Genomic DNA, 16180 nt, shown 5'->3' with positions numbered 1-16180 from the left:
CACGCCATTCTCCTGCCTCAGCCTCCCGAGTAGCTGGGACTACAGGCGCCTGCCACCACGCCCGGCTATTTTTTTGTTTTTTTAGTAGAGACGGGGTTTCACCGTGCTATCCAGGATGGTCTCGATCTCCTGACCTTGTGATCCGCCTGCCTTGGCATCCCAAAGTGCTGGGATTACAGGCGTTTAAAAGTTAACTTTTTAAAACAGATAGTAATTGAACTTCTACTGTGTGCCAAAAATGGTCATAAACCCTGGCCTCATGGAACTTTCATCTCATACGGCGGTCGCCAAACCACAGCTCAGGAGCCAGAGCACCTCCCTCTTTGTCTGGGGAACTAGGATGGACAGAGGGTCAAACTGATGTCTCACTGCTGATAATCTTCAGTAGCAGGAGAGGCGTATTTCTCTGTGCTTGCCTTTCCTTTATTGTCACTGTGCTCCAATTCACTGGCCTGCTGTCCGTTTTGCAAGTAATGCATTTTGGAACACTGCCATGCCCCCTTGTTAGTGTATTGCCTATGGCTGCTTCCATGTTACGATGGCAGAGTTGAGCACATGTGACAGAGACCCTATGACCCACCAAAGCTGAGAATATTTACCATCTAGTCCTTTCAGAAAAAAAAATGTACAGGAGGTATATAACTTAGTAGGGCATTTGACTGCAGGGAACATTTGCTGTCCATCTTATATCAGTCTGCAAGAGCTGCTGTAACAAAGTACTGCATATGGTGGCAGGGTGGGGGCTTAAACAACAGAAATATATTTTCTGAAAGCTTTGGAATAGAAGTTGGGGATCAAAGTGTGGGCGGGGTTGGTTCTTTCTGAAGCTCCTCTCCTTGGTTTGCAGTGGCGGCTTCTACCTGTCTACACATCATCTTCCCTCTGTATGTGTCTGTGTCCAAATTTCTTTATTTTATATTGACATCAATCCTATTGGACTAGGGCCCATATTAATGACTTTGCTTGAACTTAATTACCCCTTTAAAGATCCTGTTTCCAAATACAGTTATTCAGTGGTGCTGGTAGCCAGGGTTTCAACGTATGAATCTGGGGGAGATGCTATTCAGCTCATGACGCCCCTGGTGTAGTGAGAATGAGGACGACTAAAAAATTACCTAAATATGGCTCATGAGAGAGATGCACAAAGTGCTGTGGGACAGAATAGGAAGATGTATCAGGCTTCTCAGTGGAGGTGACATTTTAACAGGCTCTTGGAATAAATTTGTGTTTACCAAGCAGAAAATGTGACTGGACATCCCACAGCAGCATGCACCACATTTAGAAGGCTTGGGGCACGTAGAAAACCAACCACAGACAGAACTACTACACACTGGAGTTCAGAGAGTCGCTGTAGCAAAAGGATCCTGAATCTAGAGGTTGAGAAGGTGTCACCCTTTTCTTTCTGCGTCGAGGCTATAAATTGCTATCCTGTGAACCAAGGACCAAGGGGAGGACCACAGGGAACTGTCTCTCAGGAAGTCGATGCCTTCAGAGTAGCGAGTCCAAGACACCCGGTGAGCAGAGGCAGGTCTGAGAATTAGGAAGTCAGAATTTCTCCTCTGGCCACGGTTCCATCAGACAGAGCCTTGAATCTCAGCCACCTCTCGCTTATGGGATTCCCATTATCCACCCTGGATGTTGAATGGTTCTGGCAGCCTGCACGGCCGGGAGCACAGACCCAGGGAAACTACAGAGAAGAGTCGGTCTTGCCAAGAGAGCTGCTTCCTCTTGCTTCTAGGTCCCATTAGACCATCCAACCAGCATCCTCACATAGGAAGACAAACAGTAACTTCTCCCCCAGTTCTTCCCCGCTGCCCTCCCAGAAGCCTGGTCGTTAAGAGACTGCACACATCACAGCTCTGCTCGAAGCCTTCACCAGCCCAAGGGGCTTGGGTGTTTCTTTTTTCTGAGGGGGTTTCTTCCCTCACTTCCTCTTTTCCCTGCTGTCCTACCCCCTAAATGCTGGCATTGGCTCAGCGACATGACTATAATATTCTGAGGCCAGACCCTTTTTTGGAGCAAAATCAGCCAAGGATTTTGTTGGCTAAGTGGGGAACATATTTCATTCCTAGTTCAGAAACACCAGCTTAGGCCTGACAACCAATTGGATTCCATGTGGGGAAATCATGCCTCACCTGATGGATGTGATCAAACACACACTGGCCATGAGAGTATCTCTTTCTGCCACTTGGGGATTAAGGTTTTCCACAGCTCTTTCATTCACAGTGTCTCCATATCATCCAGGAGACGGCACTGCTCCATAAATCAGGCTGTGGAGGACAGTCAAGGTCATGAATCTCCTTCAACTTCACCCTGTGACCCCCTTCCCAACCATCGCCATCTGGGGCTGTGCTCACATGGCTCTCAGGCAGTGACCCTGGAAGGGAGCATCCCAGGGGACCCCGCTCCAGAGGCAGTGAACTCATCCCTCCCTCCTGCTCCCCAGCCCTGGTGCTGTCTTAGCCAGTGGTGGGGAGAACAGGGGACTGGTATTCATTGAGCACCTACTTAGTGCTGGGCACAGAGTCAGGCACTGTGCATGTGTTCCAATAACCCTGCTAGATAGGTGCTGCTCTCATTCTCCTTTTACAGACACGGAACCCAGATTTAGAAAGCTTGAGTAACAATGCTGGAGTTGGCCTTGGCATCCCAAAGGCCATGACCTCACAAATTAGTCCCTTCCCTTCCCTTCTCCTCCCCTCTCCTCCCTTCCCTTACCTTCCCCTCCTTCCCTCCCTTCCTCTCCCTCTCTCCCTTCCTCTCCCTGTCCTTCTTTCTTCTCCTTTCCTTTCCCTTCCTCTCTCTCCCTTTCTCCCCCTTCCTCTTTCCCTTGCCTTCCTTTCCTTTCCCTCCCCTCCCCTCCCCGTCTTCCCCTCCCTTCCCTCCCTCCCTTTTTCTCCCTCCTTCCCTTCCTCTGCCTCTCCTTCTTTCTTCTCCCTTCCCTTCCCTTCCTTTCCCTTCCCTTCCCTCCCTCTCCCCACTCTCCTCCCCTCCCCTCCCTTCCCTTCTCCTCCTTCCTTCCCTCTCTCTCTCCCTCTCTTCCTCTCCCTCTCCTTATTTCTCCTCCCTCCCCTCCCCACCCGTCCCTTTCCCTTCCTTTCCCTTCCCTTCCCTCTCTCTTCTCCCTTCCCCTCCCCTCCCCTCCGCTCCCCTGCCCTCCCCTTCCCTTCCCTTCCCTTCCCTTCCCTAGAGGCCTGATTGCTGAGTGCCTGCCATGTTTCAGAAACTACAGTCAGAAATGAGGCCACCTAATGAGAACCAATCCAGCACAGCCTCTACCCACATGGAGCCCACACTATAGTGAAGCTCCCTTCCTTCTTGTGGATTTCTATGAGATTTTGTTTCCCTAAGACCTGACACATGGTTTGGATATAAAAATAATACTCATGATCATGGTAATACAGATAATAACAGTAATAAAATTAATGAGAGGGAAGAGGCTATTCCTCACTGGCAAAATGAAAATAACACCTATTACATTGAATTTTAAATGCTCATTTAAAAATCTCTGGACACGTTTGCCTTATAATCAATGTTAAGTCCCTTGTAGGCTTGTTATGGAGATCTAACAAGTTCGCTGTCTGCAAAATGCTTAGTATCCACTCTCTAGGCACTATTATTTTGTCAGTTGACTTTGGGAGCTGAGGTCTTCCCAGGTCCTGGGACTGGCAGAGGGTCCTGAGCACTTTAATTTCTCATTCTTCTCTTCCAACGTGACTCAAGATAGACTCTGTGCCTTTCCAGCCTAATCTGGGTGACTCCCGCATCACTCTCTGGCCTGGCTGATGTCAGAGGCCCCTAAACTGCTTCCCCAAGAAAAAGAGGCAGTGTCCCCTGGGATCTGCCACACCAAAAGGCCACTAATCTGGGAGAGCAGAACTCTAACCCTGACTCTCCATGTGATCTTGAGCAAGTCACATAGTGTCCATCAGAGTCAGATGTCACTTTAGCAGTGATTTTTGTTAAGTACAGTCTAACCTGAATATTGATTTCTGGGTCTGAACGTTATTGAAACTAATAGGATTAGATAAGACTGACATTTGGGGATCATGAACTTGACTTTCAAGTCAGGGAGTGAGGTGGGAATTCCAGACACGTTAGCAAGTTCAGAGGAGGAAATCTTTGGAGGAAGGGGGACTGCTGTGGGTCCTGAAGTGACCAAGGAGTATTTGGTGCACACCTGTGTAAACCACAGGGCTTCGGGGAGCGGAGCCCCAAGCAAGATGCTAAGAAGGCGGGGACCTTGGAAAGAAGGCCTGGCAAGAAGCAAAGGGTATACTCAAGTCAGGAAATTTTGGGGAGAATTTAAGGAAGAATCTAACTGCAAAGACTGGGCATGGTGTGGGGAAACTAGCAATGAGTGTGACAGAACCTCATCAGGGAGCCGGTAAGGAGGGGAGAAGGTCGTATACACCTGAGAGGGTAAGAGGAGGGAGTGGGGGCTCAACCTGGAGTTGGATGGCTGTGCAATAGGGTCACCTGGCAGGAGCTGTGAGCTTTGGTGGAGGGACCAAAGTCTGTGATGATACCATAAGAAGGGAGCAGGGGGACTGAATGCATCAGCCTTTCTCTCCTTCTGCCACCCTCTCTCTGACTTCCCAGTGCTCTCATTGGCCAAATCCAGCCAGAATTCAGGAGGTACAGAAGACCATTGATACAGTTTTCCTGGTTACTTTTCTCAGGGCAGAATGCTGAGTGGAGAAGGGGGAATAGTGGCTGTGTTCGGGGAAACAGAAGACATATTACACAAATGCCCCCTCCCTGATTCTCAACATCCACCTTTCACCAATGAAGAGGTGGTTTCGTTCCTTCATCCAAGCAGTGGAACCCTTCCTTCACGAAGGATGGTGTGTGAAAGATCAACATCTGGTTGGGTGTGGTGGCTCATGCCTGTAATCCAGCACTTTGGAAGGTCAAGGCAGGAGGATCAATTGAACCCAGGAGTTTGAAACCAGCCTGGGCAACATAGCAATTGTCTTCAAATAAAAAGAAAATAAATAAATTAGCCGGGTGTAATGGCATGCACCTGTGTTGCCAGGTACTTGGGAGGCTGAGGAGGGAGGATTGCTTGACCCTGGTAGGTCGACTCTGCAGTGAGCCATGATTGTGCCACTGCATTCCAGCCTGGATGACAGAGTGAGACCCTTTGTTAAAAAAAACTCAAAAAGAATAAAACAATAACAAAAACCAACAATCGAAACAGAGCAACATCCAGAACATAAAAAAGTAGTCCGTGCTGCTTCCAACAGGGGTGGCAGGCCACAGTCCCCACCTTTCTAGCATCTCCCTTGGGGCTCAGCTCCCCAGAGCCCTAGGGTTCGCACAGGTGTGTACCAAATACTCCTCAGTCCCTTCAGAATCCATGACAGTCCCCCTTTCTCCAAAGATTTCATCCTCTAAACTTGCTAATGTGTCTGGAATTCCCACCTCACTCACTGACCTGAAAGTCAAGTTCATGATGCCCAACTGTTAGTCTCATCTAATCCTATTAGCCTCAATAAAGTTTAGACCCAGAAATCAATGGCCAGGTTAGACTGTGTTTCACAAAATCAGCACCAAAGGAACATCTAAAATGTCACTCTGAGCTGGAAACAGCAGTTACTTCTTGACTTCTGGATCTCTCTCTTCTATCTTCTTTCCTCTGTTTCTCTTTGGCCTTTAAGATTGTGTTATTTCTCTCTCTCTCTCTCTCTCTCTCTCTCTCTCTCTCTCTCTCCCTCCCTCTCCCTCTCTTCTCACTTTCTCCTCTGTGTATATGTCTTCGGAACAGACTATACAAACATTTGCATTAGAACTCACATCCTCCTTCTCTGCCATATGACAAGTGATTGCTGGTTTCAACTGTCCTAGGCATTTTAGTCTTATGGTAAAGAGCATAGACTTTGGCAGCATACTGGCTTCTTTGTAAGAAATAAATAAGATAATGCATGTAAAATACTCGACACAACTCCTGGCAAGTAGTAAGTACTCAAAGCAATTTTTATTGTTACTTTCCTAAGTGTAATATACACTTCGTCTCTAGGGTCTCGTGCCCCAGTTGCTACTGAATTCTCAAATCTGGAGTTCCCAGGCACTGGATTTTTCCACCAAGATAAATAAATGAATACAATGGAGGAATAACTGAATACTTACTATATGCTAGATACAGGAACACAAAGGCCAGAAAACAAAAGACATGATTGCAATATTCTTACAATATTCTAGGGAAGGAGATAGACACCATCCAGGATGCAAAAAATTGCTGTGAGGACAGACACAGAGGAGAGAGTAATTTTTCTTCTTCCTGGGAGAATCAGAGAAGCTTCACAGAATGGATGTTAAGGTGTTAGGTCTTAAGGGTGACTAAGAGTTTGAAACTTTCAGGATAGACATGAGAACATTCCAGACAGGGAACAGCACCCACTTGGTAAAGGAACCTGCTGACACAGCACATATAGATCGGCCTTCCAAGGCCCCAAAGTGGGTGGAGAAGGGTGGAGCATGATCTGAGAGCATCATATGTTCAAGCATTCACTCAAAAACCAATTTTTTTTAACAACTGCTATGTACCAGGCACTATTGCAGGTGTCAGATGTAGATAAAGCCATGAGCCCATCTGAAATAACACTCTACCCTCCTGCACCTTACATTTGAGTTAGCAGAGACAGACATATCAAAGTTTACAGTTGGATGATCTAGCAAGCAGAACAATAGCACCAAATGATTCCACATTCTAATCCCTGGAATCTTGGAACATGTTAGGTTACATGGTGTATTAGTTCATTCTCATGCTGCTAATAAAGACATACCTGAGACAGGGTAATTTATAAAGGAAAGAGGTCTAATGGACTCACAGTTCTACATGGCTGGGGAGGCCTCAAAATCATGGTGGAGGACAAAGGAAGAGCAAAGGGACTTCTCACCTGGTGATGGGCAAGAGAATGTGTGCAAGGAACTACCCTTTATAAAACCATCAGATCTCTTGAGATGTATTCACTATCATGAGAACAGTATGGGGGAAACTGCCTCATGATTCAACTATCTCCACCTGGCCCCATCCTGGACATGTGGGGATTATTACAATTCAAGGTGAGATTTGGGGGGAGACACAGCCAAACCATACCACAAGGCAAAGACATACTGAGGTTGCGAATGGATTTAAGCTTTCTAAGCAGCTAACCTGAAAATAGGGAGGAGATTCTTCTGGATTCTCTGGGTGGGCCTAATGTAACCATGAGGGTACTTAAAAGTAGAAGAGGGAGGCAGAAAAAGAGTTCAGAGAAAATGAGACCTCAGAGGAATGGCTGGAGAGACGCAAGGTTGCTGGCTTTGAAGGTGGAGTAAGATGGAGCCGAGTGTGTGACTTCTAGAAGTCGGAAAGGGCCAGGGAGTGCATTTTCCTCTAGAACCTCCAGAAGAAAAGCAGCCCTGGTGACACCATGATTTCACTCCACTGAGACCTGTGTTGGACTTCCAAACTATAGAACTGTAAGAAAATAAATGTGTGTTATGTAAGCTGCTAAACTTGTGGTAGTTAGTTATGGCAGCAAGAGAAAACTAATGCAGGTGATGATAAAAGAAAAAGGGTTGGAAAAATAAGGTCAAAAAGGGAGCTAGACAAGTATGCATGCTCTAAGCAGAGAAATAATTTAACATTCAATATGGTGGTCAGGAAAGGCCTCTCCAAAAGTTGATATGTGAACAAAGACCTGAAGAAAGTGATGTGGAAAGCCATGCTGATATCTGGATAAAGAGTCTTCATGACTCTTAAGCCTCAATATCTGGAGGAATAGAAAACAAGGGCCTGGAGGTGGGAGTTTGTCTGATCCGTGCAAGGAACAACAAAAAATCCTGATGGGGTGGGAACAGAGGATGCCAGAGGGCTAATGGGGCATCCAGATTGGAAAGGACTTTGATTTTCACTTTGGTTCCCATGGACATCATTGAAAGGCTTTGTGCAGATGAAAGAGACATGCTGTGACTTATCTATTAACAGAACTGCTCTGGCTATTGTATTGAAAGTAGACTGGAGTAGAGAGTACTGTTTGAGGCTATTGCAATAACACAGGCAAGAGATGAGGGTGGCTTGCACTGAATCAGAGCAGCAGAGGTTATAACAAATGACAAGAGCCATGCGGACATTGGTATGATCTCCGCATAGAAGTTGAGGAGGGAAGGAATAGGAGTTGAGACTTGATGACGAAAGGCATAGGAGTTGAGACTTGATGACGAAAGGCATAGGAGTTGAGACTTGATGAGAAAAGGCAGCTTAAATTCCTTATGATCTGGACAACTGAGCTAATCACAAAACTTCCCTCAATTTCTTTTCATGATTGACTCAACCCTTCTCATCTCTCCCTAAACCTATCTAGATTTGCAACCTGGAGCCTTTCTCAAGGTCTTAGAGGTCAGTTCCCTGCTGGGGACAAGGGTGCTTCACACAAAAGCAATTGGAGTCCACATGGGTTGAACAGGGGCGGCTCAGTCATGTCTTTATTGAGCTGCTCCCTGTTGTTACCATATGCAGAGGCTCATTTATTTATAACTCTCTGGTCAGCATCTTCTGAAAGACTCGTTACTGTCTGCGCCCTACACTACGGGGAGTTGCATCAAGGAAATGCATTAAGGAGAATCAGCAGGAGGCAAGGGTACCACTGGTCAGGCTCCCTACCTCTCAATTATTTATTGCTCATAATTTCCAGCAAATCGCTGGCTGTTTATTGGTGATCATCCATTATTGAAACACTTCCTAGGGCCGGGGCCAGGTTTTCGGGAGCTAGAGCTGGGGTGTACTCTTGAAAGCTGTTAGACAACCCCTAGGGAGTATGGGGTCTCCAGAGTGGCTGGTCATCCAGCAAGGATATGCCTTTTAATTGTTGGCTTTTGTGGGAGCCTGGGATTGGTCAAGATCCAGCCTGTGGTTTACCATCGGTAATTGACAGAGCCCTGATGTTTTAGGGGTGTGTGTGTGTGTGTGTGTGTGTGTGTGTGTGTGTGTGTGTGTGAAGTTGCTTTGTCTATGGGAATGACCCTGGGCCCCAATGGTTGTGAGCTTTATGCTGTTCACAAGAGCCTGGTGCACCATCTTAGGAAACCGCTACTACTATCCATCCAAAAACCTGGGATTTACCCTCTATCTCTTGCTTTCTTCTTCCCATGTAGTCTATCTCAGGCTCTTCCAACCCATCAGTGAATCCTTCTGACCCTACCTCCAATATTTATATATTCCACATTTTTCCACACCTCTAACCTTTTGCCACCATTGCTTTCCTCTAAGCCACCACCATCATGTCCCATTTGGGTGACTGCATAGCCTCCTTCCAGGTCTCCTTGCTTCTATTCTTGGCTTCTGCTAATTCATCCTTCACCTGGAAGCCAGAGGTATCTTCTAAAAACTTAAATCAGATACCATTACTCTCATTCTTGAAAATACTTGAATGATTTTCCATTGCACTTGGCATAAACTGCTTTGTGTGGTGTACAAACTAGCTCTTCACCAACTAACTCAACTTCACTCAGCTCGATTTCACCATCTCACTGCTCCAACCTCATGAGCCTTTGTCAGTTGCTTGAGCAAGCTCTTCCTGCATCAGTGCCCTCGCACAAGTTCTTCGCTCTTCCAGGAGTGCTCCACATTCAGAACTTCCCAAGGCTGGTCCCTTCTCATAATTCAAGTCTCAGCTTTAAATGCCACTTCCTCGGAGAGTCATTTTATGTGGAGCCTATCCACATCCTCCCGTTCTCCATCAATGGATTCTGATTACTTTCGGCATAGCTCTTACATCATTTGCCAATGGTGTATTTGTTTGCTTGTTTTGTTTTAAGATTCAGACTCCATCACTAGATTGTAAACTCTGCAAGATCATCGCCAGTGCCTAACGTAAGGCTTGACATGGAGTAGGTGCTCAATAAATATTGGTGAGTAAATATATGAATAAATAAATGAATAAGGTGACCAATTATAATCCCCAAATAGTGCTCATCAATCCAAAAACTGTGTGCCATCTTCTAATATGTCTCTAATCTCTGATGACCAAACCCACCTCATCTTGTTTCCGCAAACATTAGAGGATCTTAGGATGAAGGAATCCAAGTCATCCTCCCTCCTGAAATAGAGATCCCAATGCAACAACCCGGACAGATGATCACCTTCCTCTGCTTGAATACTGCCAAGCCTTGCACAATTCTCATCTCTGCACTCAGGCTTTCCATTGTTGGAAAACCTTGACTTCCTTATAACGAATCAGAATCTGCCTTCCTGGAGACATCCACCATTCAGCTTTATTTTCACAGCTTAAGTAAGAATGTGGACTCTTGAGTTTGCTAGACCTGAGTTTGAATACTGACTCCTCCACTCACTATATGACTTTGAGCAAAGGCTTGAACCTCCCCAAACCTTAATGTTATTACTTGTAAAATAGAGATAACTATATTATTATCACACCAGATATATAAATGAGACAGTGTTTGCAAAGTGCTTGGCACAGAGCCTGATAACTTTTGTGATTTGTTTTCCTCCTTCCTGGATCATACGGGCTCCTTCTAGGTGGAAATAAAATCTAACTGCACTCTGTCTATGATACAGACCCATATCTAAAATAAAACTGTTAAGTAAGATCTTCTAAGAGCCTTCTCAACCTAAAGCTCCAGGAATGTTTCAAAGGACCAAGATATAGCCCCTATTATGATAAAAAATATTCACCTTTGCCTTACTCAGACAGAATGTATGAGGTTCAGCTTGACAGAGTGAGGATGAATGAATAACTCGAAGAATAATTAACCTCCTGGAATATTTTTATTGTTTTAGATATCTTTTTAATGTTCATATAATTTAATGAAAAACACAAACTCCATTAGCCAAATTACATTCTACTATTAAGTCCAGGCTAGGAAGAAAGCTAATGAGATTTTTTCTTGGCATTCTTCTCTCTGATCTCCCCTATGTTTATTGAGAATTTACAAGTTGATTGCAAAAGTTTATGTCCTAACATTTTGTTGAGTCTGTGTCTAGTTACTTTCCATATAATGCAAAAATGCCTGTGGAAATCCTAACACAGTTTCATTGCTTATTGGATAAAATAGCTTTATCCTAGGTCAGAAAAATCTAAACTCTTCCCCTGCACAAAATTAGCATTGATAGTTGATAGGTAAAGGAAATACTAATTCAAGAATTAACTAATTGCTTTTTTTCCAATTAGCTGATCTTTATTTATTGACTGGGTTCCTACTAAATCTCCACTTAATCATATATTGATGGCAGATGATGTACTAAGCAGTCTGATTTATCGCTAAGAGATTTTGATATGAACCATGTCTAAACTCCCATGGATCCCAAGGAAATCCCGTTCTGCCTTGAGAAATCTAGGCCGGTACAAAACGAAAAGAGCATTTCGGAGTTCTCCAACTATACACAAATGGATAAACTGGGGATACTGGCTTGGGTTTCAACAGGTAGCTAAACACAGTAGCATCAGAATTCCAACCCCAAGCATTAACGCTCAGTCTTCAGTTAACAGTCCTTCCACTGTTTTTTCTAGTACTTCTGGAGTTTATTTTGTTTTCTTCAACATGTTCAGGAAGTTGCTTAGTGCTGAACTAGGACTCAGAGCCCTGCTCAGTCTTCCATAAGGGAAGTGCTCTGAGCTGAATCAGGGATATAAAGACCATCAGGGAACAGGGTCTGTCCAAACACTCAACTCTCTTCAAAGGCTTTCTGAGTCCTGGGGCAGCAAGTTGATGGGCACCTAGCATCTCTCCTCCATGGTTCTGGTCTTGCTCTATCTTGGTCCTGCCCGGGTAACTGTGCAGACTCCTCCTCCTGTATTAAATCTCCATCTCATTAATTGGCAAGCACCTCTTGGCTCAGTCGTCTGCTGAAAGCTCAAGAGGCTCCATCCAGATGCCGTGTGATGATGAATATGAGCATAAGCACTAGCCCTGGAATCAGGCTCCATGGATTGGATTTGCTAACTAGCTGTGACATGTAATGATTTTATATTTAAAATCAAATCTGTGTTAACAAGTGTGAACTGTAGTTAAGGCTATGAATGTTGAAGAGCTTAGAAGTAAAGTATTCCAATATCTGCAACTTATAAAAAAAAGAACATGGATTGGTGAGTGGCTAGAAGTGGTTAGAAGTATGAAGGGATGGACGGATGTGTGATAAAGCAAATCTAGCAAAATATCCATTATAGCAGCCAGATAGGGGATGTGCAGATGTTCCTTGTATAATTCTTTCAACTTTTCTGTATGTTTGAAAGTTCTCATGATAAAATTTTACGAAAAAATCCTGAACCGATCAACTGATTTAATTAAAAATACATACATACATACACGAATAAATAAATAATCTTCTCTATTTACTCCCTTCCTAAAAACCCTTGCACGATCCCAGTCACCTTTGGGGTGAATTCCATGCTCCTGACCAAGCCCTTCTCAGGCAGAGTTCTCACTACCTCTTCTGCTTCACCTCTTCTTACTTCCTGCCTCTCAATGCATCCATCCGCAGCCTGCAGCCTACAGTGTTTCATACCTGCATTCCTTTGCTCTTGCTGGGTCCTCCAGCTGGGATGTGCTTCTCTCGCTTTTGCTCCCTCTGCCTGGCCAACTGGTACTCATTCCTTAAAAGCCAACTCTGGCCTGAGGCTTTTGCATTTGGCATTTTGAGTATCAAAAGTTAACTCGAGGGATCCCGTTTAACTCAGTTCATCATTTCATCCATTTGCCATCCCAGCCTGTCATCCAAACTGATAGCCAGTTCTTCAGACTTCCTGTCACCAGGAAATACAATAAACAGACATCTTCTGTTTTTAATCAATTCATTGATAACAATGGTATGAGCAGGCAAGGCTGCTGCTGGAGCCCTGCCATACGGATTCATAACCATCTTCCTGCCTGTCTGCAATTCTTCATCCACCCCCATTGGGTGAGAATTATGCAGCCTGCAGGGAGGCCCACAGATGACTGCAGACATCTAGCCCACCTTTACCACCTTTCCTGAAAACATAACAACCTATGCCAAATATCTAAAGGAAATACTAATTCAAGAATTAACTAATTGCTTTTTTTTTTTCCAATTAGCTGATCTTTATTTATTGACTAGTTAGAATCAAGGTAGACAATCTGCCATCTTCTCTGATCCAAAAAGAAAAAATGAGGTCAAGTTAGCAGAATATTAAAAAAATAAAATAAGATAAAACCCATTTGGCCCCTGCTAGTCACAGCCTCATTTTCCAGGGTCTGACTCACCTTACCCTATGGGCAGCTGTCTTGTGCCTCCTCAGCCTTCTCCACTCTGCTCTGTCGCAGGAGGCTGACCTACATGGTATATCAGCAGCTCCCTTGAGTCCTGGTGTCCACTGGGTTTGGGCAATGGGAGGCACTGGCAGGAAAAGAGTGAGGGCCGGGTTTTACCCACTGGTCTCCTGTATGCCAGGGCGCTGGGGTTTCCCTGTCTCCTTCTTCTGAAGCCCCTTGCTTCTGTGAGATGGCAGTCCCTTTCAGCTCTCACACTCTGGCTTTTGAAAACTGCTCTCATAGGATTTGAGGTTGTAACAGCTTCCTCATGTCAGTAATCCTGGAGTGCTTTCCTACCCTAGTTGGTTTCCCTATAACCAGCCGCACCTCCTCTATTTACATCTAAGATAAATGCTCCTCCTTTAAAGTCTCCTTAAATTATCCAATTGGAGTGGGACATGCCAGCCTGCTGAGGGTCTGACCCCTGTACCATCTGTTTTTAGAACCAGGCTGAAATTACTCTCTTAAGACTGGGATATCTCTGAGAGATGATCCTTGGGAGATGTGTGTTGTTTCTGCAAAAGTGAGACAGTGCTCAGCAGGGAAGCGTCATCTCTATGCTCCAAGCCTGAGAGTTCAAGAACCTCTCTATCTTGCTTGATGATTCAGAACCTGGATGTGATGACAGCAGATATCCACGCACATTGCACATACATTCATTTGACAGATAATTCGAGACCTCCTATGTGTCTGGCAGTATGTGAGTCAACATGCGGGCAGTTCATATGAATCCAGTGTGGTCAGTGGCCCTAGAAGAACTCACAGTCTAGTAGGGTAGTCACAAATTTAAAAATGGAAGCCTAAGGCAATATGCTGTATGCACAAAGAGAAATAAAATCGAGGGTCTTGGGAACATAGAAAAGAGTTTAACTCACCAGGGACAGGTTGGAATGAAAGGGGAAGCCTAAAAGAGTTATGGGACATTTGACTTGGGTTTTGAGGGTTGAATAGGGGTTTTACAAGGAGGCGTATGCCAAGCAGAGGGAATGACATGTACAAACAGATATGATCCCCCCAAAGTCCCAGCCATTGGTACAGGGATAGACACAAGGTCTGACTTGGACCGGTAAAAAGTCAATCCCAGGGCTTGTGCAGAAGCTAAATAAAGAGAGTCTCTTTTCTCCTGAATGTTATGGGGTGAATATGTGAGGTCTAGAACTTCTCTGCTGCCATTAAGGAAGATATGAGTTACCAAGGGTTTGCTATGTGGTGTCTGACACAGCAGAAGACAAAGTGGAGAGACACAAAGAAACTGGGCCCTCTGTGCCATTGTTTGAACGGCTGGATCAAACCTTACTTGAAGCCCATATGTATCTTGACTTCTCAGTTACATGAGCCAACATATCTTTTTTACTGTTTACTGTTATTCACTATTAAAATACAGTAGTCCTCTCCATACATAGTTTCACTTTCCACATCATTGTTAGTCTCTCTCTGTGCGTAATTTATAAGTTAAAATGTATCATAAGTTTGTATGTAAAGGAAAAAAACATAGTGTTTGAAGGGTTTAGTATTATCTTCAGTTTCACTGGGGTCTTGAAACATATGCCCTGCAGATAAGGGGGGACTACTCTATTCTAAACTAATAGCAGACAGGCTGAATTCTTCCTGGGATACGAAGGGGACATGGAGTAAATATCACTCTAGGCACAGGGAGTGGCGAGTCTGAAGTGAATATAAGATATGAAAAATACATGTTTTGTAAAAGGAGGCATGAGAGTTTGATGAGATCAGAGGCATGGATAAAAGAAGGAACAAACAAGAAAGAAAAATAGACTTGAGCCGAGTTCTGAAAGGTCTTTCTATGTTCTAGGTGGCAAGTAGACATTTTTCCCTTGGCAATAGGGAGCCACAGAAAGTTTTCCACAGGAGAGTAGCGTGAACAGTTTTACATATCAACAAACAGGCACCTGGACTTGGGTGATGCTTTGGCAGATGGTTTGGCAGACTTCTTCCTCCTACCATGTTTTCCTTCCTTCACTGAGCCAGATAACTACCTAGCTCACAAGAAAAAGGCTATTAAAAATGTATTTTGGCTGGCACATTGGCGCAGGCCTGTAATCCCAGCACTTTGGGAGGCTGAGGCGGGTGGATCGCCTGAGGTCAGGAGTTCGAGACCAGCCTGGCCAACATGGTGTAACCCCGTGTCTACTAAAAATTACAAAAATTAGCCAGGCATGGTAGTGGACACCTGTAATCACAGCTACTTGGGAGGCTGAGGTAGGAGAATCACTTGAACCCAGGAGGTGGAGGTTGCAGTGAACCAAGACAGCACCACTGCACTCCATCCTGGACACCAGAGCAAGACTCTGCCCTGCCCCCGGGCACAAAAAATATATATATATTATTGATTAAACTTGGTCTACAAAACCTGCTCCAAGGAGCAACATCTTCCCAGCCAAGCATTTGCCTACTAGGTACCAAGCCTGACTCCTTTCTCAGGGACAGTTTGAGGTGACACCTGGGTATAAGGAGGCTGCCTTCTCATCTGGGAGCTCAAGAGAGGGAAGGGATGCCCAGTGGAGCGCCGTTCCCAAGATTGCTTTTCCGATTCAGTGGAGTAAGGTGGTTTCCCGTTCTAAATATTTAACATGATGCTGTCGGTGTGTCCTCTAGGGGACGAGAACTTACAAGCTGATGTTTATGAAGGGAGAGGCGATGAAGACCAAAAGACACACATTCAAACAAATCTAACCAAACAACTTTAATCCACCCCCCACTCGCAGAACCGGAGGAGCGCTCATGATTTATGGCTTTGCTTGCAAGAGAGAGAGAGGATTTTTAAAAAAAAGCTCTTCACTTTGCTAAGAGGGGCTGCATCCAAAAGCAGCAGCTTTGCTTGTACTCCCTTTGAAACCAGAAACCCCACTCCTTTTGCCCTGCCTGAGCAGAGCCAGAAAGAATG

General features: G+C 44.9%; 1 annotated feature.

Moving 5' to 3' along the window:
- Window positions 13701-13901: a silencer, noted in NCBI's record as "peak1981 fragment used in MPRA reporter construct". NCBI's record gives its function as "represses an SCP1 promoter by STARR-seq MPRAs in K562 erythroleukemia cells {active_cell/tissue: K562}" and the evidence as "EXISTENCE:reporter gene assay evidence [ECO:0000049][PMID:32103011]".

This window comes from Homo sapiens, chromosome 12 (assembly GCF_000001405.40).
Source record: "Homo sapiens chromosome 12, GRCh38.p14 Primary Assembly".
Classification (NCBI taxonomy): domain Eukaryota; kingdom Metazoa; phylum Chordata; class Mammalia; order Primates; family Hominidae; genus Homo; species Homo sapiens.
This window is presented reverse-complemented; position numbering and strand designations above follow the sequence as displayed.